This window comes from Homo sapiens, chromosome 12, assembly GCF_000001405.40.
Source record: "Homo sapiens chromosome 12, GRCh38.p14 Primary Assembly".
Classification (NCBI taxonomy): Eukaryota; Metazoa; Chordata; class Mammalia; order Primates; family Hominidae; genus Homo; species Homo sapiens.
Window position 1 is genome coordinate 20,021,995 of NC_000012.12, and position 25,357 is coordinate 20,047,351.

Here is a 25,357-nt window from a genome sequence, read left to right on the forward strand (position 1 = left end):
GTTATAGCAGCAGAGTTCTATTTGAAACTCTTTTCTGTACTAACGTTTTGACTTTGTCACTTTACTTCTCTGTCAAAGGAGACTGGTGATAATACTTTATTAGGGAGCAGTGGGATTCAAATGAAATACTGCATGTGAAAAATTACTTTGCAAACTTAGCAGTGTAACACAAACACTCATCATCATAACTAGAAGTCTGGCCTCCTGACAAATACCTGTTGACAAGTAAGGATTTGTTGTACCAGTCAGTTTATTGTTAACTAATAATAGATTATTTAAAACACTGATAGCTGTAGCCCTGTGTTGAATCGGATCATACATCAAATGTATGTAGTCATTTCTTTGAAAATAGAGGATGACGAGGAAAAGTTCTAAATTCATGTTGTGAAAGGATTGTCTGTAGTTTCTTTGGAATTTTTTTAAAATAAAGAGATAAAATTTTTTTCTTTTCTCTTTTAATAATTTTGAATTATATTTTTCCCCTAATTTAAACTTATGTTTTATTTATTTTTGATTAGTTAGCATGACATACCTTTTTGTTTTTGTTTTGTTTTTTTGAGTCTTGCTTTTGTCACCCAGGCTGGAGTGTAGTGGCTCAATCTCGGCTCACTGCAACCTCGGCCGCCCTGGTTCAAGCTTCTCCTGCCTCAGCCTCCTGAGTAGCTGGGATTACAGGTGCCTGCCACCACACCCGGCTAATTTTTGTACTTTTAGTAGAAATGGGGTTTTGCCATGTTGGCCAGGCTGGTCTTGAGCTCCTGACCTCAGGTGATCTGCCCGCCTCAGCCTCCCAAAGTGCTGGGATTACAGGCGTGAGCCACTGTGCTTGGCCAGCATGACATATCTTTAAAAAATTTTTTTTAAGAGACTAGGTGTTGCTCTCTGCCCAGACTGGAGCGCAGTGGCATCATCACAGGTCACTGAATCCTTGAAATCCTGGGCTCAAGAGATCCTCCCGCCTCAGCCACCTGAGTAGTTGGGATCACAGGTGTGCGCCACCACCACCACGCCTGTCTAATTTTCTTTTTCTTTTTTAGAGACTGAGTCCAACTGTCTTGCCCAGGCTGGTCTCAAACTCCTGGACTCAAGCAGTCCTCCTACCTTGGTGCCACCACGTGCTGGGATTACAGTTGTGAGCCACTGCACTTAACCTGACATATCATTTTTTAATCCTCTTAATTTTTTAAAAAGTTTTTTATTGTTAAATTGTGGATAAAATTGTATACATTTATCATGTACAACATGATGTTTTGAAGTACATATACATTGTGGAATAATCAAGTTACATTCTACAGTGGTTCATATGACCACAAATTTATAGAAGTTCAAATGGAATTTTTATTAACAATGGTTAGTTTAGATTTTATTTAATTTATTGACATACAAGTATTAGATATGACTCAAATGTGAGTATGTTGCCTAATGTATCTATTTTCTCTTTTATCAGTTATGTTTTATGAAGCAATTTGAAAATAAATAAATTAGCCCCAAACTATATAACCAGTGATACCCAGTTTTAAATGCAATTATTTTCAAATGTATGGTGGGTGACACCAAACAGTTGTCGGTTAGCAGCAGCCTCATGGTAATTAATGCACCTAGTTTGTTTGCCAGATTTGTCTAGCCACTTCATTATTGTCTACTTGTAAAATTCAGTATGGTGCTTTGAAAAGAGGTACAGTATTTATGTATTTATTTTTAGATTAGTTTATATTCCAATAACTTTTCAACATATTCCTATCTCTTCTTTTTCATGCTAGTTTCATGTACATGTAACACCTAATGTTAGATCCTCACACCTCTGGGTATGTTCTAAACCCTCTCAGTGAACACAGGCTTGATAGGATGAGAGGATGGCCCTTTTGAAGGACCAAAACCTTAAAAATGACATTAGTCTCTACAGAAACAAAAGGCCTCTTAGTAAAAGTTGAGGATGCAAATTTACAGCAAAAGTCTCCTTCAAGTTAGATTTACTTTGGTAATATTCAGATTTGGGGTTTTTAACACCTGTTTTAGAATCTGAAATGTGAGGAGTAGGATGTGTCTTGTTTTTTTCCTTTTATCTTTCTTTTTTGTGATAAAATACACATAACGTAAAATTTACTGTTTTAGCCGTATCCTTTTATTAAGTGCTGTTTTTCTCGAATTTTCTGTACTATTAAAAAAATCTTTATCTAAAAAAACTTTATCTAAATGAAAAACACAGCCTATTCTTTAATCCAGTTAGGTCCCAGGAGATGCTCCTATAAAGACCAATTTTCCTTTCCTTGTGATCTGGTGAGACCTGCAGAATCGTATAGAGGATTTCAGCTGCAATCTTTGTATTGTGAACTGGGCCAACAAATTGCTCCATGCTCCAAACAGATGTTTCCCTTTTAGGTTATTGCACCACTAGTGGACTGTTTTCCTTCCCTAGAGGAAATATCAGTGTGTTCGTAAACGAGAAAGCTTCTTCTGAGCATCCGAGAACAGGAGTGGCAGCAGCAGCAGCAGGGAGTGAACGTGGAAAAGTGGAGATATATGTTTTCATGAATTTGCAACCCATCCCGCATTTTAATTTTCCTCTTTTTTATGCCATTTCTTATTTCAGAGGTCACTTGATATATTATGAGCATGAATATTTTTATTTTTATCTTTAAAAATACTTCTTTGCTGATTTATTTAACATGTTTAGTACAACACAGCTTGAGACAAGGGCCAGAAGCCTCCCCGATTTACAGCATAGCATATTTTGAAGAGTCCCTCCTAATCTGTGCTAGAAGACAGACATTTTAGATTCTCATTCTTAAAAAGTTAGACTTTTCATGACAGCGAAAGAGGTACTTACTAAGAGAATATTATTCTCTGAAAAAGAACAAAGATCTGCATTGAAAGAGTAAAATGTCAAAAAAAATCTTATATTTCCTTTGTAGTGTTTTGCTTTCCATGAAAAATGATTAAACGAGTCCTCTTTCTGTAGAAAATAAGCCACAGCCTAATACAAATGTGAGTTCCTATTTGCAGATGGTGGTATTATTTTTATGGCATGTGCGATCACAGTTGCAGGCACATTTTATTTTCTTCCAAGCATGATGTTGCCATACCTATGCCTTGAAAACATAAAGTCTCTATCTTTACTGACTGAGCTGACTACCACGAAAACTTGACATGCCAGTGTGAATGGGGAGGGGGGTGTGAAGGGGAGGAGGGCAAAATGTGGGAAACGGAAAGGCATTTTACCAAAATTTACCAAAATATGACCATGAGTACATTCTTTTTTAAAGCATCATTTATGTCTCCTTCAGAAAACTGTCCCAAGACTGAAAAATCAAAGAATGTTATTATATTATCTTTTATAATATAAATTTTACTTTAATAAAATTTAATAATCTATTTAAATATTATTTTTTATAATATAAATTTTATTTAGTTTTGTTTTTTGGCCAACTGAAGGAAAGTTTACAAATTTTTCATTCAATTTGTGCTAATTTTTTGGAATGCCACCAATATTCAAGACTCTAGATTTACTTACAGGCCTACCTGGTGACTGAAGACCCAGTTCAAATTGTTAGTGCAGCCTGGGCAACATGGCAAAACCGTGTCTTTACAAAAAAAAGGCAAAAAAAAAAAAAAAGCAAAAATTAGCCAAATGCGATGGTGCATGCCTGTAGCTCCAGCTACTTGGGGATCCTGAGGTGGGCAGAACCATGAGCCTGGGAGATTGAGGCTGCAGTGAGTTGAGATCACGCCATTGCACTCCAGCCTGGGCAACAGAGTGAGGCCATGTCTCAAAAAAAAAAAAAAAAAAGTTAGTGAACAAAAATGAATCAGAAATTCAATAACTCAGAATTATATTCTTCTTTTTCTTTTGTCTATTTTTTTTTTCATTAAAAAACCGAAGCATGGTTTTTAGAGGAAGGAAGGGAGTCAGATACAATAAAACATTTTAGATCTTATTTGGGAGGGAGAAAGAGTGAGGTTTCTGAAACTGTAATTTTTCTGTGCAATGAACAGTCTAAAAGGATGATGGTATGATTAAATGGATGAAATTCTTTATGTATTAGACTTGCCTTATCCTTATGTTTTCTAAAATTGCTATCATCTCTTTTTAAATCTACTAATGGATATAGGATATACAGAAAATTGATTCAAGTTTAAAATGATAGACTAGAAATGAGCCAGAAAAGAGAGGTGGGTTGTTGGAATCAGATGGGTGATTCAGAACTCTATTAATCAATCAGTCTGTCAATCAGTTATTTAATTGATTAATACATACATTAAGCAAAATTTACATTGTCTCCTATGAGTCTGGTGTGATGCTGGACATACAAGGTGAACAGGTGTGATTGTTGTCTTCAACTACATAGTATGTACAAGGCCCACATTAAACCATTTATGGATGTTTTCTCCTCCAAGCCTCAATACCATATCATGAAGAAAGGATTATTGAGCCATTTCATAAATAAGGAGCTTGAGCTTAGCTCAAGTTAGAGCAGGTAATAGGGAGCTAAGCTAGATTTTTACTACAGTCTAGCTGTCTTAACTTTAAAACCTCAGGTTCGTTTTACACCTCATTTGTTTCATTATCTAAAGAAGTGAATTACTAAGCCTTATTGATAAGATGTCTTCAGAGAGGCAGCATAATGTCATGGTTAACATAACATGCACAGGCTCCAAGTTTGGCTTACTGGGTCAAATTCATGCTTTTCTATTTTAGGGCTGTGACCAAGTTATTGAACTTTGTATTCCTCTCTTTCCTGTTCAGTAGAATGGGAGTGTTAATAATGTCTACTTCTGTGAATGGGAATAATAATTGAACAAGGAGTAAACAAGTTAATAGTTAAGAACACATATTTTGGAGTTAGATGCTGGAGTTTTCATTTCAAGCTCTATCACCAATTAGCTAGGTGACCACAAAAGTCACTTTAATCTCCAAGTATTAATGTGTCAGTATATTGCTAGGCATATAGTGCTGCAAGTGTAAGTTATTTTACAGATGTATATAGATGCTGTGGTTTGAATGGTCCCCAAATTCAAGTGTTGAAACTCAATCCTTATTGAAAGGTGGGGCCTTTTGGGAAGTGATTAATGGACGAGTGCCTTATAAAAAACCTGGAGGGGACTAGCTTAGGCCGTTTTTGCTCTTCTGCTCTTCTGCTATGTGAGGGCACAGTGTTTGTCCTTCCATTTTTCTACCTTGTGAGGACACAGCAAGAATGCCCCCACCGGACACCAATGCTGGCGCCTTGATCTTGAACTTCCCAGCCTCCAGAACTGTAAAAAATAAGATTCTGTTATGTATAAATTACCCAGTCTGTGGTATTTTGTCATGGCGGCACAAATGGACTAAGACAATATATAATTTTAAAAATATTATTCTTAAAAGATTAGGGTGGGGTGGCCAGCTTCTTCATGCACTATGCCAATGGCATACCTGATCCAACCAATCTTTCGTACCCTATGTAAAACACCACCTCCTCAAGCTCATCTATAAAACCTCGTGCACTTCACTGTGGAAGCAGCAACCCATTTTCTCTTTTCCTTTTATTTATTTGTTTATTTATTTTTTGAGATGAGTCATGCACTGTCACCCAGGCTGGAGCACAGTGGCATCATCTCAACTCACTGCTACCTCCACCTTCCAGGTTCAAGTGATTCTCCTGCCCCGGCCTCCTGCGTAGCTGGGATTGCAGGTATGTACCATTATACCCAACTAATTTTTGTATTTTTAGTGGAGACGGGGTTTCACCATGTTGACCAAGCTGGTCTTGAACTCCTGACCTCAGGTGATCCACCCATCTCAGCTTCCCAAAGTGCTGGGATTACAGGGGTGAGCCACCACGCCTGGCCAGCAGCCCATTTCTCCAGGACTCCTCTCTGTGCAGAGAACCCTTCTCTTTCTTTCACCTGTTAAACTTCCACTCTGAACCTGAAAAAAAGAATGTTATTCTTCAATTTATTTTTAATCTTATTGTAGAACACCCATTTTTTCAGTTTGGGACTTTTTTTTTTTCATTTTAGGATAGAGATTAAGATTAACCTTTTGTTTTAACAGTCTCCTATTTTTTCTATATTTGTGCTCTGATTTCTATTATCATACTACTATTCTAGGTTGAACTTTTTAATCAACTCTTGCATAAACTGTTGAAATAGGCTGGTCTCCTGCCTTGAGTTTTTCTTCCCCTGAATCTATCCAGTATACTACTGCCAAATTAGTCTTTTCAAACACCACTTTCATCATTAATAAGCTAAACAGAACTACTCACATGAGTCATGCTTTCCCATATCATGAACTTACTTCTCCTTTTACCACTTCTTTTAATTTCTTTGAATCTCTACCTCTGTGATTGTAGAGAAAAACTCTCATTTTTGTATTATACTCATGGAATATCTAGGAGTCAGAAGAGCAGTAAATGAGCTAGAGGCAAGAACGAGAACTGCCTTTATTTAGTAAAACATTTCAAGAAATGATTTTGATTATAGAAAGACCTAAGAGCATGTCAAAGATGAGACCGAGAGATGGGTAGAGTTCAACATATATATAAAGATGTGGGAAAGGTTGGAGAAAAAATACTCAAAGTGGGGAGGAAGGGAAATTATAGGCAAGAAAAGGGCTAAGCAATATAATGAATGTCTCAAGCTGTATAAGAGATGATGATAGAATTGGAGGAGAGAAAACAATAAAAGGCTTTTAAGAACAGGATTATGGATTATAGCTAATAACAATGTATTGTATTCTTGAGAATTGCTAAAAGGTAGATTTTAAGTATTCTTACCATAAAAAATGCCAAGTATGTGAGGTAATACACATTGCATATGTTAATTATCTCAATTTAGCCATTCTACAATGTATTCCACAATTTCAAAACAACATGCAATACATGATAAATATATACAACTTGTGTGTGTGTGTGTGTGTGTTGTGTGTGTGTGTGTGTGTGTGTGTGTGTGGTGGGGACTGGGTTTCACCATGTTGGTGGCTTTCTCAGAATCTTTTATTTATTTATTTATTTATTTTTGTTATACTTTAAGTTTTAGGGTACATGTGCACAACGTGCAGGTTAGTTACGTATGTATACGTGTGCCATGTTGGTGTGGATTTAAAAATTTAAAGAAATTTAAAAAAAACTGCTCTCTGATATTGAAGTTACACTGTGTGCTATAGTGTAACCCTCACTATTATACCTTAAATATTTAGGAAATCTCTATTCTCCATTTTAACAAGTAAGGTCCTGGCAAGGGATAGTCACTCAAATTTGGTAACCAAGGAGAGTTTTAAAAGTGATTACATAAGAGATATCATCAGGATTTAGGAAAACAAAGAAGGGATAGTGCAGTTGCCTAGACCTAAAGGGGTATAGAAAAGAAGCACTAACTAGAAGGAACCCAGAGAGAGCCTCTCTCTTAGTTGGGAAGGCCATTCACCTGATATTATAGGAGCTGTAGGTAGATAAACGCAGGCAATATGCAGCAATCCACCAAGAAGGGAGCTGAAAAAATTAATTCCTTTACGTTTCTTTACCCGCCTACTCTGATCTTGCCAGCATCTTCCATTCACCAAACCCAACTGGAAATCAGTGGGCACGGGAGACCATTGAGCAGAACATAACTTTCAGACTCCCAGGTTACAAGACAAAGTGGATAAAGTGGAGAGTGATTTGGAGATGCACACAGAAAACATCCAACACGTACAAATTGTGTGAGTTATATTTGGGGAGATCAGAGAAAAGAAAGCATGTTCCATGTTTGGGTCAATACATGGTAGACAGAAGGAAGCAGCGTCAAGAATTAAGAAGCAAGACATTGAGAACTTGGCCAAAACTGGTATTAGAAATAAATAGGCACAATGTAAAAACCCCATCAGAGGAGGCTCACTAATTTTCCTCTTCAATTTGAGTGGGGATTTGATTCAATGTTATTGGAATCTCAAAAGGTAGAGTGAATCAACTATAATATGGGTTATTTGCTTATTTGTATACATATCTTGCTTTCTCTACTGTGAATCTCCCTAAAGATAAGAGAGACTGCCCACCTTTATTTCATCCCATACCCCCTAAGACAATGCCTTATAGATAGTGTGTGTTCCCAAATTATATGCTAAATGGATTAATAAATGAATGCAGTTTCCCTGCTCAGAGAACTTCCATGGCATCCTGAGATTGCCTTTTAAATACCTCTAATAGTATTGCTTCAATCCACCTTTTCAGGTACAATGCTATTTTGCTCTAGGTATTTGCTTAGTTATTTTATTTTTTTTCAATTTTTGGAAAAGATGGGTATCGCATATATTGCCCAGGCTGGTCTCAAGCTGGGCAATATATATCCCTTTTATCCCCTAATGAATTTCTACCTAACACTACAATTATAATTTTCATCAGTACAACTTACATTTTTTTCTGTTTGAATTCTCATTAAATTTTAATGTATATGATTGTACTTTAATCAAGTTGTTTCCAAAATTCTGTTCTATCAATGTATATTTGAGCATCTAACTTTAATATTAACTTCCTGGAGGCTTTTATACTTTCACATGTAAGAAAAAACTGAAACAAGCAGTAACTAATATTAGCTAGTAAATGTGGTTTGAAATGGCCAGAAAAGGTTAGGAAAATGGAGTCCTTTTATCATGTTACATAATGCAAAGTCAAAAGAAACACCATGTTCCTCCTGAGATGGAAACCTCTTGTTAATTTTCATCACGTATACGTGATTTTGGCTAAGTCATAATACACGTTGAGTTAGACCAGAGCCTATTTTTCTTCTTTTTTTAAATTTATGCTTGTATTTCTACAGTTCATATTAGAAGGAAAAAAAACAGGAAATAGAAGTAGTGTGAGTCCTAAACAATCTAAAAGGAAATGGGAAAGCTACCCAATTCCATATTTCATAGTTTAGACAAAAGAAAACATTTTTTTAATATCTACTTAAGAATATTTACACAGTTGATTTAAAGTTATATCAGTTTATGCCCTTTGTATGTTTTAGATAACATTGTTGAATTTCCTCTGACTTAACATGAGATGGACTTGCCTGTGTGCAGAGCTATGCAGGCAGGCACTCCCTCCTCCATCCCAGCAAAAGCCATTTATTAAGCAGCTGTTGTTATTAGTTTACAAAAGGTTTTTCAACACTGTGTGCTTTGTGACTTCACCTTTCAGTTTGTTTTGAGGAAAGCCACATTCCTTAGATTCTCCTCTCTTAACTCTCATTAGGCCAACTGGCAAGTTTAGATGATGTCGTTTAGAAAAATTGGTCAAAACTAGAATATAAACATAACGTGCAATATTCCTGGCTACCTACACAGCATATTTTGATACTGAATACAGCAAATCTATGAAATCTGAAATAAAGGAGCTTTGTGCCAAGTCATGCTCTTTAGGCAGCGCTCTGCAAATCTCAGAAAAAGTAGAACCCCGAACAATTTTTGTGACCTGAAATCGAAGTCAGCAAGGTTTCCCATTCAAGGTGGACAAGTAGCTACCTTTTCAACAATCATATATTTTTTGCAGTCAGACAGACTATTGCAGAGAAGCAATAGATCACCTGTCCCACCTATGGACAGGTGCCAGGAGGTGTCTGTTCCTTGAGCTCAAACATTCATGAATCAAATCTATTTGTATCTTGCTTTATTGACACCCAACACTTTCAGCAAGGTGTGAAAATGGTGTGTGAGTCAAGACAAGTTGAAGAAAATAAACCAACATGTATACAATACCTGATACTTTACTGTTACAGATCATGTGGACTTAAGTTAGTGTTATTAAAAATATTTAGGGCTGGGTGCGATGGCTCGCTCCTGTAATCCCAGCACTTTGAGAGGCTGAGGCGGGCAGATCACCTGAGGTATAGGAGTTTGAGACCAACCTGACATACATGGTGAAACCCCGTCTCTACTAAAAATACAAAAATTAGCCAGGCGTGGTGGCCCATGGCTGTAATCCCAGCTACTCGGGAGGCTGAGGCAGGAGAATCACTTGAACCTGGGAGGCAGAGGTTGCAGTGAGCCAAGATTGTGCCATTGCACTCCAGCCAGGGAAACAAGAATGAAACTCTGTCAAAAAAAAAAAAATTAGATATTAGTTACACTCAAATGGGAAAGATACTTTCTAGTTCTCTCTGATAGGAAAAATACATACCATAGCATGTCTGTGGTGTACGTATAATTTTGAAGACTGTAAGTACAACTCATCAATTTGCAAATAATTATGTATTAAAAAATTATTTGTAAATCAATTCTTTGAAGTGAAGGGTACATTCCCCTGTAGAAATAACATTATAAATGCTATGTACGTTGTCATGACAGTCTTCTAAACCCTATTTAACTCAAACTGTAGCTGCATAGAGCTTGAGTATGGTAAATAAACTACACTTACTTTATGAGAAAACAGATCCTAAGGCACAAAAGATTGAGGCATAATGTCTGCTCATAAAGTAGCCTGGCAGGAGAAATGGGACCTCTTATTTCTGTACCCCTTTCACCAACTCATCAAGGACACTGAGCCTGTTGGGGCTACAGTGATAATAGGGAAAGTACAGAAGATGCATGACTAGAGGTCTCTGATCATGGCCAGGAGAAAAGTTCAGTAGTTTTCAAGGGGAAGTGATTTTCAGGTCAAAGCAACTGTCAAACTTAGTGAAATGGAGTTTCCCTGTGAAAATGCTAACTAGCCACTTGATATAATATCTTAGATGTGTAGGACCATATTACCTATGATATAGTATGGAAAAAATTTAAATTTTTTCTCTAAGTATTTTTCTGTTTATACCTTTTATTTTCATGCTTGCTTAGTACATAGAACAGGGGGCATGAAATAAAGGAAAACCAAACCAAGCAATACATTGAGCCACCACCATCCAGGAGGGCAATTGATGGGTAATGGGTAATATAGGGTATCATGTAGTCTCCGAGTTGGTCTATTGGAGGTCTCCTTTCCTCTCTAATGCAGCCCCCAATCAGGAGATTTCTCTTCACATTGAAGGGAATAGAATATATCCATGCTTAGAACAGGGATGAACAGCAGGATGAATTCATGCAAAATCCAAGGAGAACAGAATATTGATCAAGGGGAACAAAGGGCCCCTATGTTAGGCAGCAGGGCTGTATCAGTGAACAAACTATAGAAAAGCAACTTCAAGGTAAAAATTAATAATATAAGAAAGCATAGACGGCCGGGTGTGGTGGCTCACACCTGTAACCCCAGCACTTTGGGAGGCCAAGGTGGGTGGATCACGACGAGGTCAGGAGATCGAGACCATCCTGGCTAACATGGTGAAACCCTGTCTCCACTAAAAATACAAAGATTAGCTGGGTGTGGTGGCAGGTGCCCGTGGTCCCAGCTACTCGGGAGGCTGAGGCAGGAGAATGGCGTGAACCCGGGAGGCGGAGCTTGCAGTGAGCCAAGATAGCTCCACTGCACTCCAGCCTGGGCGACAGAGCGAGACTCCATCTCAAAAAAAAAAAAAAAAAAAAAAAAAGGCATAGACATTTTGCAAAGCATTTGAGAGGTAAGCAAAGACTGCTTACAAAAGTTTTTTTCAACACTTTGTGCTTTGTGACTAGTTGATATGTAGTAATTTGTATGTAAATTTAACTTTATGCATGTAACAGGGTAAAAGTTCCTCTTATAATAATAAGGCTCTTGAAAGAAGGAAATATTACCGCAATAGAGACCAACAGAGGACAAGAATTGCACAGACACACGGAAGAGGATCACCAGCCTTGTATACAACAGAAATGCTTCTGAAATATTCCCTTAATTATTCTCGCTAAAGACTTCTACTGGTCCCTTATATGAGGATGACTGGAAAATGTGTTAGAACTCCCTTGGAGATTGCAGTATGTACTTATGCTGAAGTTAATGAATTCCAGGCTCTCAACCACTCTACTAATCCTTCCTTCATAATGCCCAGAAGTACAGAATCTAATGAAATTGATATTTGAACTAGGCTGCTTCTATGTGTCTATTATGGTAGGATTTTGAGACCCAGAATAGGAAAAGCCACGTATGTGGAACTCAAATAGAATTTTGTTTGAACAAAGTTTATTTCTGACTGTCTATATTACATGGTACAGTTGTTTCGTCACTTTCAGAGCTGTTTTATTATTCACTCTTGATTCTTACTAAAATACAATACTAGCCAGATCCATTTGTGGGTTCACAATAAACTTGTTTTTTTATTGCAAATTTGAAGTTGTGACTACCCCCTTTTCTACTTGAGTTTTTATAGCTACTATTACCCAAATAATTCAACTATACCTCAGCTTTTCTTAATTTGCTTGGACAGTATAAGAAGACAACTGAGGTCTGAGTAATACAAGTTAACAAATAGTACTTGTTAACTACACAGCTGGATGTCTCTAGATACTGTTGATTATATAAAATTATGGAAGTATAAAGTGGTGGAGATCTTAGAACAAAAGCTTGTGCAACTTCTCACTAAATGAAGGAATCCTCTTGTAGGATCTCCACTTGACCTCCTCCCTTCTGTCTGGATAGTTTCTGGGACACTGATGTCCCATGATGAGATGGTTTTACTAGGGCGGGCTCTTTGTGTGTTCACCTAAGGTACTTTCTGTACTTTCTCACTGTGGTCTTTGGTTAGTGTCTTGCAAACTCAGAATGAGCTTTTCATAAAATAAGCCATCACATATTTATAGATAATTAGTGAAATTATTATTTTCTCCTTTAGGCTAAATGCTCATGAGCCAACACATTTTGGGTGTCTAAAAATTCATTTGACCTTTTAAGAATAAAGTTCAGCTTGTCAATGTCCCTCTTCCAGTGGGTATATTGATACTCTTTTCCACAGGTTATCTGACTTGGAAATTTTAGTATGATAATCCCTTCCACCAATACCTGGATTCAGATACTGTATCAGCTCATGTAACCGGATAGTACATTTTAGCATTGTTGACAGCTTTATCATATACTGTGGTCAACTGAACTGTCTGGTCTTTTTTCAGATCAAATATTTCCACAAAAGGACTATTGTATCCTGCAATTAAAAAATTAAAAGCATGATTTTATATTTATGTATGATAAATTGCATCTCTTGATTTCATCATAGCATTCATTCCATTAATTGGAGATCTTTTTAAATCCAGATGTAATGTATTTGCTATATCCCTCCAGCAAAGTGTCATCTACACACTTGATGAGGCTGTCTCCATGTCTTCCTTCAACTCACTGGTCAACAGCACATGGTCTTGGCTTCCCTCTAGATTATTAATCTATCGATACGTACCCATTAGTTTGGTTACTGCAAAAAATTTATGTCACCATTGACACTTTTCCAAACATGTCAAAAGAGTTTGTATCATTACCTTCTTTAATTTAAATTATGATGTATCTATGTCAGTTTTCTATCCACTGTCTAATATCTTTGTTAAAGAAAGTTAATGGGGTTATTTTATCATGACTTTTCTTTTGGGATATATGCTGGCATCACAAATTTTTTCAAGAACCAATACTGAAAACATGTATATCAAACTTACTGAACTCTGGTTCACAGAATCTGTCCTTTCTGTTCTTAGATAACCAGGAAAATGTTTGCTTAGTTTGGAGTTTTGGCATTCCTCCCATCTTTAGTTTTCAAAGATTCCAGATGTTGGTTCTATAGTGAACATCTGTGCCTTGTTTCAGTTCTCTGGGAGGCAATTCAGGTGAGCTAAGAGAAGGGAATTTATTTAAATTAGATATTCTCTGACACATGTTTCACCTTCACTGTGCTCTAGTTCTTTTTAAAACAATTTTTTTCTCCCCTTTATTAACTAAAGAGTAATATCTTTATTTTCTAATTTTTTTTTTTTAGAGACAAGGGCTTGCTCTGTCACCCAGGCTGGAGTGCAGTGGTGCAATCTTAGCTCACTGCAGTCTCGAACTCCTGGACTCAAGCGATCTTCCCACCTTAGCCTCGCAAGTAGCTGGGACTACAGGTGCATGTCATCACACCCAGCTACTTTTTTCTAATTTTTTTTTTTTTTTTTTTGTAGAGATGGGGTCTTGTTGTGTTGTCCAGGCTGGTCTCAAACTTCCTGGTCTCAAGGGATCCTCCTGTCTTGGCATCCCAAAGTGTTGGGATTATAGGTGTCAGCCACTGTACCCGCCTAGAGTACTATCTTGAAACAGAAAGTGGTAACAAAATACAGGAGTAGTAACTTTTCTGATGTTTATTCATATAACATCTTCTTTACATAGTTCATCTCTCTTTTAGAGCATTATCTTTCTTGTTATACATTTAAAATTACCCATATTTTTATCCTTTTTTTAAAAATGATTTTTGTTTATCTGGGTCTTTATAACTTTTCAGAAACAATTTTGGTAGGCCAGTGACATACGTTGTATTCATCCTTGCTGACATGTCCTCCTCTATATTTCATATTTTTAAAACATCTCTTCAGGTGATTTTCTTTCTCATTTTAATTATTTGAAATTATGTTGATAGATTGCACTACAATCATTTTTAAGTTTCTGGCAACTGAATTTTGCTTATTTTTCTATCATTTATTTTCTCTCATCAGCTTTATTTGGAGTCTAGCATATATGTAGTCCTGTGCATGATATTCTAATTTATTTTTTTCCATTTTTACTTGCACTGGTAGTATTCTCAATTCCAAGGCAATATGAGCACTAACACATAAGGATTCTATAATTTCCCCAGAAATAACTCTTCTCCTTAGAGGTCAACTGACTTCTTTGCTCCTGAGGCATCCGCTTCAGTTGGGCAGTGGCTCCTGCAAGGAAGTGTGGGTCCCAGCTCTGTGGTGGCCCCTTTCTTCAGGTGACTAAGGCACCAACACCAGACAGACAACAGCCCCTCTTCAGAGGCCTCGGTCTCAGTTCTGCAAGGCCCCTCTTCCAAGCTTCTGAGTTTTACTAACCTCCTCTTGTTTCCTCAGATTTAGGGAGTGGTATCTGTCTGCTGCAGTTTCTACTTCCATAATACCTTACAATCCTTTCTGTCACATCCCCTCTGTTAATATAACTGGCCGACTTCAATTTTCTGAGTGGTACATGCACTACTGATATCAACATGAATTCACTCTTTCTTCTTTCTTTATCTCTAAGTCACATTCAAATGAAAAGTAGAAATGAACACATCATCCAACTACCATGAGCGACCAGCTTTGTATCTAGAACATTTAAGTCACCAGAGATATCTTCCAGAATTTTTTTATTCTAAAATTTATTCTTAAGTATGTCAACAAAAAAGAGAAGGATCACTGCGATCAGTAGATTTTGCAAATTTTTTAAAGCAGTTTCTATTCTTTCTCTTGTCTCAGTGTTGTTGTCACCAAACTCATTACTCTGGCTTTTATTCTATGACTCCCTTGAAATAGTTTTCTTCTGAATTCCCTGCGTTATTTCTTTATTACTGTCAAGGACAACTTGTTATTCTTAAGATGCTACAAGGAAAAGTTATGTTTCCTTAATTTTTACACCAGTTTGTCAAGCGGTGATAGCAATATGCACTCTTATATGACTGGAGATCAGCTCAGGAGGAAGTCTAATATGAGACAATCTGCGGGTTATTGGAACCATTCATAAAGTGTGCAAATTTTCTAATCTTCTCTGGACGATTGATATTTTAAAATGTTTTCTCACCACTCACACTTACAAAACTGTCTTTATGTGTGCCACAATCAATATTTGTCCACAGTATGACCGTGAAAATAACCCTAGACTGGGGCAATAGTTCCCAAACATTTTTGTTTCAGGAACACTTTATACTCCTAAAAATTACGGAGGATCCCAAAAGTGTTTTTCTATGTGGGTTATATCTATACATATTTATTGAGTTGGAAGTCAAACTTGAGAATTTAAACAATATTTTAGTTTATTTAAAACTAACACATATCGTAAATTACACCCTTTTATGAAAACTGTGTGTTATTTCTGCTTCTTGCAGATCTCTTTAATGTCTGGCTTTAATAGAAGACAGCTGATTCCCTTACAGCTGCTCTGCATCCAATCTTTTGTAACATGTTGTTTTGGTGGAAGGAAATGAAGATTCCAGCCTCACACTGATATCTAATTTGATAACAGAAGAATCTTTTAGTAACATTTTCAGGTAGTTGTGAGTAGTCTCTTTTGATATTATACAAAAATTCAAGTGATCGTTTCTTAAAGTTCAGTTGCGATGTGAGATCTGAAAGCTTGTTAATGAAGTTTATCTACTCTGTACATTACAATCTGCTGGTCTCTTGTACTTTTACCCATCCTTGGTTTTGTAACATGATATATTATTCACTTGGAAACTCTTGATTTGTTGAGTTAATACAGTCCTCCTAAATGTAGACATATTTTATTATATGTTATTAAAAACAGTTTTCATTAAAATAGCCATTGAGCTCATTTAAAAAGTCTTTAAGTATTGAGAAGTAATCAGACTCACAGTGGCAAATAGCAGTTTTCCAAAATTCTAATTTTTGCTTGAAAACTTGCATTTTATTATTGGCAATAAGCCTGTCAATTGTTTTTCTTGAAGTAACTGGCTTTTTTCATTTTGAAGGCATTATCAGCCAAATGGACAAATCTGCACAGTGATAGTTTATCTGCATTCTTTGAAGTAAAAATCGTGTTCCTGAAAAAAAGCCCTGGTTCTGTTTGCAACTCAAAATATTGCACATATCCTATTACTTGAGAAAACCATCGTACTTTGTTATACAGCAGAAATGCTTTACGTGGGCCACATTACATCACATAGAATGTTTAAAAGATGTAGACTAATGGACCAAGATTTAATAAAATTGATAATTTTTACTGTTTCATGAAGGAAATTCTAAATTGAAACCTTTTTTTTTTTTTTTTAGATTGAGAGTGTATAGAGAAGTTGTTGGGTGCCATGGCCTTATGTAGGGCTAAGGCACAAATAGCTTTGCTCACCTTTGCTTTTGCACCAACAGTGCAAATGTGAACACAAAGAAGTAAAGAACACTTTAGTATAATAATAAAAACACTGTTGATCTTTCTAACTCCTGAAAAGTTCTCTAGGACCCCTATGGGTCCATAGAATACATTTTCAAGACTGCTGCCCTAGAGCAATATTTTGATTTCACTCACAATTCAGAAACTCTTAGAGGTAAAATACTAATTCATATCTGTTGGTTTTAAAAGCACATGCTTTTTTTTTCTATTTTCAATAATCAGTTTAACCAATATGAATTTTTTTATTTTTAGTAAGAGTGTTACTTAATGCCATATCTCATGGCTCAAATGGTAGTAAATGACCAAAACAGCATAGGAGAAAGTAGCAAATGTACGTTTAGTCTCATCATAAGGAAAGAATAGTGCTAGAAAAATAAATGGTCTTTTTCTATATCATCTGTTGTAAGGACACTTTGCATGGAAAATTGGAAAGATTTTTATGTATGTTTATTCTCATCATGTTTGCCATTTTACCATTTAGCTACTCCACTTGTAAATTTTTATTACTAAAATTGTCTAATCTCATTAAAATGAGTTTATACCAGTAAATGGTGGTGCTTTTGAGTCTAAACAAAAATATACAAATTTCACTTCATTATATTCACAGTAGGCAGCTCACTCGAGCAATATTTTCCCATTCTGACATGTGCTGTCAGGATCTATGGCCTTTCTCAAGAAAGAAAGAAATTCTCTTTGCAAAATACAGTAAAAACTAAGCTTCTATTCTGAATTTGTAAATTTTCCTTTCTTGACACAGACATGAACTGCTGCTGTCTTAAATCTTGCACTCCCAAAGGAAAGTGCGCCTTCCCGCTGTCTTTTCTTTCTTTATTCTCACCCCTCCGCATATAAATCTAGTCTGCTCGTGCTTTCCAAACTGTCTACACTTTTTACAGAATAGCAACAATGGATGAGACTACTGAAAAGATGTGCCATGTTGGTATAGTAGCTATTATTTCAACAATGCCAAGCAATAGCACAGCAAAGGAGATGCAATCTTCCTAGAATTAGTTTTACTTTAAATGAGAACAATCTTAGTAAATCTGATAAATTAACAAAAATAAAACCCTCTGGTTACTTCAGATAAAGTGCAAAGAAAACAAGCTCTTTCAGTTTCCTCATTTCAAGTGAAGTTCGCAGGGGAATTATTTGACTTTACAACTTTATGATATGTTTGATGCATTTTTAGTACTTTGTGTATTTTTCATTGTAACATTTTAAATGACTGTTAAGGAGTTAGAGTGACCATCCACAGCACACATGGAAAAATGCTGCTTAGAAGCATGGGACATTAATAAGTGAACTGATATTTATATCTTAGAATTTGTTTACTTTTTTGAGAATCTCATTAGAAACCTATGCTGGGATATAAAATTCTTTAGGCAGATTTCACTAAGTAGAGCCAATTGTCCTTTGTTTCTTTTGCTGAACCCAGTATTGCATAAAACTGCCAATGCACAACCAAGCTGTAGGCTGATGGAAAACAACATCAGCCAAGAGATTCACCTAGAAGCCAGCTAACGGAGCTGGGTTCCCTTTTGGTGTGAAGGCATCAGAAGACCATCAGCTCTAGAAATAAAACTGAAAAAAAAAAAAAAAAGAAAAAAGAAAAAAAAAAACAACTCTGGCAAGCCGTGTGGAGAAAGACTATGGCTGACAACACATAACTAGTCTTTATCTTTCCAAGGTGATGTGAGAGTTCTTAATTCACTTTTATCTTTTGCAGATGCCCAGAAATAGTTCTAGGCATTTTGAAATCATCGCTAATAGAATAACAATACATACAAGTAATATGGTGCTGGATTTTGAATGGCTGTTAGTAAGACAAACAGCTCCACAAAGTCAATTCTCTCCTTAATACCCACTGTCCTAAACATTTTGCATTAGTCTTTCTTGTTCTCAGTACCTTACATAATCACATTTGCATCCCATCTGTCCCCACCCCCACCATGATTTTTCCCTCCATTTAGAAGGGAAAGTAAAGAAAAATATTTTCTTACCAAATTCTTTTGCTCTCTCACTTTTTCTGCATTGACACAGCAACCAAGCCAGCTGTCAGCAGAGGCTGCTTGGTGCTTTAGAAACGTGTATCAGCAGAACACATTCTGTCCTTGTGCCAGGGCAAATTAGAGGAGCAGCCAGCAGGGTGGTTACTGGTTCTGGTAAGGAGAGAAGCGTCTACTCAGCACTCACTTTTCTATCCCTGCCCACCTGCCCCTTTCCGTCCTGACTTCCTGCTTGCAGGGATCCTTCTTTCACCTCTCTAGGGCTGGTGCTATGGAGCTCTGAATTCACCAGTTATTATATTGATTGTGAGGTTCCAGTGCTCTTCCTAACCTGCAAGAAATAATTAGAACCCGCTCCTTCTTAACCCTACACCACTAATTTTCAAACACAGGTGTGTTGTGTAAAGTGTGAAGCATCTGAGACTTTGTAGGTAGGCAAGGGATCTTCATTTTTAATAAATATAAGGTAATTTTAACTAAAATAATCTCAAGATTAATTTTGAGAAACATTTAAAAATTGTATTTCCACCTCTTCTTAGGGCATCGTGCAACCTTGGATATGGGGAAAGGAGGACATTGGAAAAACTTCCAAGTGAATCTGATTCTGGACCCGTCCTTGACAACCATTTCTCTAGACCAGGAATCCTCAATTCTGGCTCTACCATAGACTCAGCTAGGGAGGGCTTTTTGTTTGTTTGTTTGCTTTTTAATGTAGATACCCAGATCCATCCACCCCCAAAGATTCTGATTTACTAACTATTGGTATTTTAAAAAATCTCCCCAAGTGACTCTAATATATAAGTCTCAAGTAAATGTTCTCAAAGTGTGGTTCCCAGATCACCATCACTTGAGAACATGTTAGAAATGCACGTATTCAGACCCATCCCAGATCTACTGAATCAGAAATTCTGGGATTGGAACCAGCAACCCATCTTTAGAGACCTCAGGTGATTCTAATACATGCTAAAGTTTGAAAACCACTGCTCTAGACCAAACTTCAAACTTCAAAAAAAATAGATATTTAGATAATACAGTTGAAGCTTAAACAACATGGGTTTGAACTGCAGAGATATTTTTTCAACTACATGTGGATGGGAAATACAGTGTTTATGGGATATGAAACCTGAGTATATGGAGGGCTGACTTTTTCCATATGTAGACACCAACTGCGGGGACTTAATTATATCTTCCATCTCTTCCATGTTAGTATAATATTTGCACACATATACCTTAGCAAATAATCTAATGCCATTCCTAACATAATGGTTGATTTGCTATAGGCAGAACATTTAATTAATTACAGTGATAGAAAATAATATAACCTCCCCACCAAGAGATGTAGGATGCAGTTAACCTTGCTACTCATTACTGTATCACGTTTAGTGTCAGCATTCTTCTAAAATAAGTGTAAGAACTTAAAAAATGAATAAGATGCTGAAAGAGGATGAGCACAACTTTATAGCATTTCTCCTCTCTCCCCCAATATTACATGGAAAGGGTAGAAAATATGGCATTCAATACATTAAGCAGCTTTCTAAATGTGGCTTCCTTTCAAATTCATTTTAAAGTTTAATAAAGTTGTGACATTTATTTGGCAGTTATGCGGTAAGATATTTTTATATACCAGTGCAGATTCTAAGAGTATACGAGTATCAGATTCCTTAGTCTTTATAATAACATTTGAGGTAGGTATGGCTACAATATAAAGGAGGGAAGCAAGACGAGGAGAGATGAAGTAATTTACCCAAGATGACCCAGCTATCAAGTGGCTGAGCCTATGCCCTTAGTAACTACATTATACAGGCAAAATCAAAGCTGTGGATTGGTTCTTTAATGTCTTAAAACTTTATTTTGGTCAAAACCACTTTTTCTCCATGACCTATATTTTTCTTCTTATTTCTCTAGTGTTTCTTTTTGCATTTGTTTCTAATTTTTCATTGTTTTTTGGGGAAAATGTTTTATGTCACTTCTGTTTATGACATACATTATGATTTTTCTGTTTTTAATCGGTTGGGGTAAGTAACTGAAAAAAAAATCTGCCCTTTCAATCACAGGATGTTTTGAATCTATTGTTTTAACTAAGTTGAGATGTTATTTGCATAAGTAAAAAGAGGTAAACATATTTCATTTTCAAATTTTCCCAGGCGATGTTAGCAGGTTCCTCTACTTCTTCCGAGAAAGATGAATTTGACTATTGGAATAAAGTCTCCACCGAATTTAATCATTTTCCCAGGATTTGTTTTTCATATTCTTTATCACATTGATAGGTTTCTACATGTTGTGGGTTTGGCAAGGTATTATATAGAAGGGCCAGAAAGCTAATGTCTTGATATTTCTGTGTCAAAACAGTCAGAGGAATTCAAGCTGTCAGGTGTCAGAGAAAGTCTACACCTTATAAATTCTTGGCTCAGTTTTGTAAACCTAGCACTTTTGAATAAACCTCCAGTTTTCTCATTTATGATGAACAATGTGGTGTTTTCTTGCACCATAGTTTACATTTTCAGAAAAAAGGAAGGATGAAAACAAGGGGAGTAAGAGACGGGTGTTTTCTAAAATTCTAAATTGAGTACATAATAATTAGGAGATATATCAAAAGATTAAAACTGACTAGATGTTACTGAATATTATGAATAACTTAATAGGTCTTATTTCTGCTGCTTTCTGACAGAACTGAGGATGGAGAAGTTTATTTGGACCAGTCAGTGTAGTTAGTAAGAGAGTTGATTGATCTAAGGGCCTATATTTTCAACCTCTGTCATTTTTTACCCCTCTACATTTTTATTTCTTGTACCTCTGGGCACAAATAAGATCTACAGGGCTGTGCAGGGCTGGGCCTAAGCTGGTTGGAGGCCCCACATTTTGGGCAGATCCTCAGGTGTTCACTACTCTGCTCTTCTGTATTCAGTCCCGTGGTGCTTGTGTTGAGCCATTTGTAAATCCTGGTGTAGGTGAAAGTGCCTGACCTGTAGAGGGTATAGTGTCTTGGGTGTAAATCCTGACTTGAAACCACATTGCTGCATTACTTCAGAAAAATGACTTAACCCCTCAACCACTCATTTTCTTCATTTATAAAACTAAAATACAAATATCCACCTTATAAATTTATGACGAGTCTATGATTAATAACAACACCAGCCGCAGTGATAACATTAACAGTAACAGAACAATGCAGTAGCCAGACCCTCTTCTGAAATGTGGAGCACAATATTAGCTCAACAAACATGATCTGGTATCTTTGACAACTTCCCAAATTGCTAACAGAAGATAGTCTAGATATCGAGCAACATTAGATAAAGTTTTCTGCACCAGCAGATATTAAAGAACAATGTTTGAATCCCTGAGTTGGGTAAGGTTAAAACTTTTACCCAAATTTGTATTTTTGCAACCTCTATTAATTTCTAGTGGGAGTTATGCAAATGTCTCAAAGGATTGAATCTGGCCTTAAATCATTAAAATTTGTGTGTCTGTAACTCCTTTAAGTGTTTTAGTATGACATTGGCTGTGCTTTGGGATAGATCCATGCTTTTCAAGGCAATGTTAGGCTGCATGCCTAACCTCAGTGAACACAAGTGGCCAAAGGCCTGCACATTGTTAGGAATCCTAATAGAGTTTTATACAAAAATTTTCATGGTGCTATCAGTATTTCATCAGTAGTTGGACAATCTGGTTTTTATCAATTCAGATACACAGCTTATCTGTAGACAGCCAGAAAGTGAGCGGAATATCTCCAGGAAAAAAAAAATTATACTTTCAGATTAATTCTTTCTTGGAAAACAAAAAATAACAGGAGTTAGTAATTCATGGCCAAGGAATGCAAACACCAGAGAATCAGCCATATTGGGGAAAAGTAAAAGAATATTCAATGTATTGCTTTCTTAAACTTACTGCAAAATGGCACTTGATAAAGTTGTGTCTGGGGCTGACTTTCACGAGAGATGCTTTACATTCTAAGTGATGAGAACAAAGGTTAAAAACTTTTATCTGTATCCTTTTCACTAGCGATGCTCCCATTGTTTTGAAGTGTTAAACGTTAGCTATTACCACGCATCTGCAAGTGCAGGGTGTAGAAGATTAGCTTGTTTAAATCAGCCAAAAAGTTGGTGATGCACCCTGATGACCCACATCTGTTCTTCTCCTTGAGCCAATAATGTGCATGAGTCAGAGAAAAACACACTGGTTCAGTCAACAGCAGCTCTTTTTCTTCATTTTAGAAATGACTGGGACTTAAGAGCTGGGAATGGCTTAAAAATATGTATCTAGTCCTTTCCCTGCCCAAAGGCAAGCATATGGTACACAGTATTTTCATTATGAACCATATCCTAGAAAAAAAATTTTTACAGCTTCCTCGAACACATTCAAGTGTCTAGATTCCACACATTGTAATTTATCAGTTCTTTCTTTTGCCACTTTATCTAAATTTTTACTGCTGACATCACTCTACTTTGTGCTGAAGAGATGGAGTCTCGCTCTGTCGCCCAGGCTGGAGTGCAGTGGCCAGGTCTCGGCTCACTGCAAGCTCCGCCTCCCGGGTTCACGCCATTCTCCTGCCTCAGCCTCCCAAGTAGCTGGGACTACAGGTGCCCGCCACCACGTCCGGCTAATTTTTTGTATTTTTAGTAGAGACCGGGTTTCACCGTGTTAGCCAGGATATCTTCTATGTTCTTTAATGCTATCACTGACTATGGGGTCTCAGCATGGCATTTTAAATCATCATGGTGGCACATTTTTGGTAAAAGAAATATGACTATCTCTTTACAAAAACATATAGTGTTCACTAACGTGGCCTCCTTATGTGTCCTTCGAAGCTCTTTTATATCTATGAGTGTGTGGACAAATGAAATATACAGTGGAGAATAGTAGAGACTTTGCTTTGCATTTTTCTTGCTCCCTAGAACTAACAGAATTCTTCGTTAGGGTTTGTGCTCCTTTATGTGACATCATCCCACAGTGTACGAGCTTTGTAGCCTAGGGAAGGGATGCCTCCAATACCTTTCCTAAAAGTAGATGAATGAGGCCGGGCACGGTGGCTCATGCCTGTAATCCAAGCACTTTGGGAGGTGCAGGTGGGCGGATCACAAGGTCAAAAGATCGAGACCATCCTGGCCAACATGGTGAAACCCCATCTCTACTAAAAATACAAAAGTTAGCTGGGCATGGTGGCCCGTGCCTGTAGTCCCAGCTACTCGGGAGGCTGAGGCAGGAGAATCGCTTGAACCTGGGAGGCGGAAGTTGCAGTGAGCTGAGATCTCGCCACTGCACTCCAGCCTGGCGACAGAGCAAGACCCCATCTCAAAAAATAATAATAATATTAAAATAAAAAATTAAAAAGAGATGGATGACTCTGAAGTGATAAGGTTGTTTGTACAAGACTCTCTTCTTTTAGAAGCCTTAAATTAATATTTACTGAAAAGGAAAAAAAGATGCACAAATTTGGATATAATGCATATATGGAAAGGAGGAGGGAATTTTCCATACCTAAACACAGTTCCTAATTTGATACTAAACTTAAATAAACAAATGATCCAAAAATGACAAGTGTGAAAATAATGGCACCTGTTTGGGCTGAGAAGGTGTGGTCTCAGCTCACTTTTCCCATGTCTTCTGCTTGCTGTGTCCAGCATGTTCCCCAACCTCCTTGAGTAAATTATTAGAAGGGCTAGTGGAAAATAAAGGATAGGTGAAAAATGAAGCCAAGCTCCCAGGAAAAGTATTTACTGCAATCAGCTTCCACTCTCATGAGCAATTACACTGAAGCTTTCATTTATTTGCCATTGGGCTTAAGGCATCATATGTCACAGTTATAGAATAATTCATATACATTTAATATAAAGATAGTTTCTGTTTCATTTGTTGGTAAAATCTAGATATTATTCTTGGTAATTTTTTTGTTGTTTTTTTTTGAGACAAAGTCTAGCTCTGTCACCTGGCTGGAGTGCAGTGGTGCAATTTCAGCTCACTGCAACCTCTGCCTCCCGGGTTCAAGCGATTTTCCTGCTTCAGCCTCCTGAGTATCTGGGTTTACAGGCAGGCACCACCACGCCCAGCTAATTTTTCTATTTTTAGTAGAGACAGGGTTTCACCATGTTGGTCAGGCTGGTCTCAAACTCTGGACCTCGTGATCCACCCACCTCGGCCTCCCAAAGTGCTGGGATTACAGGCGTGAGCCACCGCGCGGGGCCTATTCTTGGTAATGTTATATAAGTGAATCAGGGTTATTTTGGTTTGTCAGTGATGGAAATTCAATTCAGTCTTAATCTAAACATGAACTTATTGGCTCACATGATCAAAAAGCCCAGGAGGTGGATATAACTTTAGTTATGACTCCTCCAGACATATATTCTCAAACAGTGTCTTCAAGTATCTCTATCTTTGTCTTGGCTCTAGGTGAGCTAGCTCTCTGGGGTCTGTTTTTTATCATCCTAATCATGAAGGTTCTGTCCTCCC

The 25,357-nt window shown here is 37.0% G+C and overlaps 2 long non-coding RNA genes across 2 annotated transcripts in view, besides 1 other annotated feature; both read left to right on the top strand.

Moving 5' to 3' along the window:
- Nucleotides 1–25,357, top strand: part of LINC02398 (long intergenic non-protein coding RNA 2398) — an 84,184-nt gene that overhangs the window by 7,310 nt on the left and 51,517 nt on the right. The window lies entirely within an intron of this gene.
- LOC124902893 (uncharacterized) lies at nucleotides 11,461–17,456 on the top strand. Its single transcript, XR_007063238.1, has 2 exons — nucleotides 11,461–13,642; nucleotides 15,889–17,456. It is a non-coding gene; the product is annotated as an uncharacterized LOC124902893 (long non-coding RNA).
- Nucleotides 13,716–13,911: a silencer, noted in NCBI's record as "fragment chr12:20188644-20188839 (GRCh37/hg19 assembly coordinates)". NCBI's record gives its function as "represses an EF-1alpha promoter that drives an FKBP-Casp9 reporter gene in an ReSE screen in K562 erythroleukemia cells {active_cell/tissue: K562}" and the evidence as "EXISTENCE:reporter gene assay evidence [ECO:0000049][PMID:32094911]".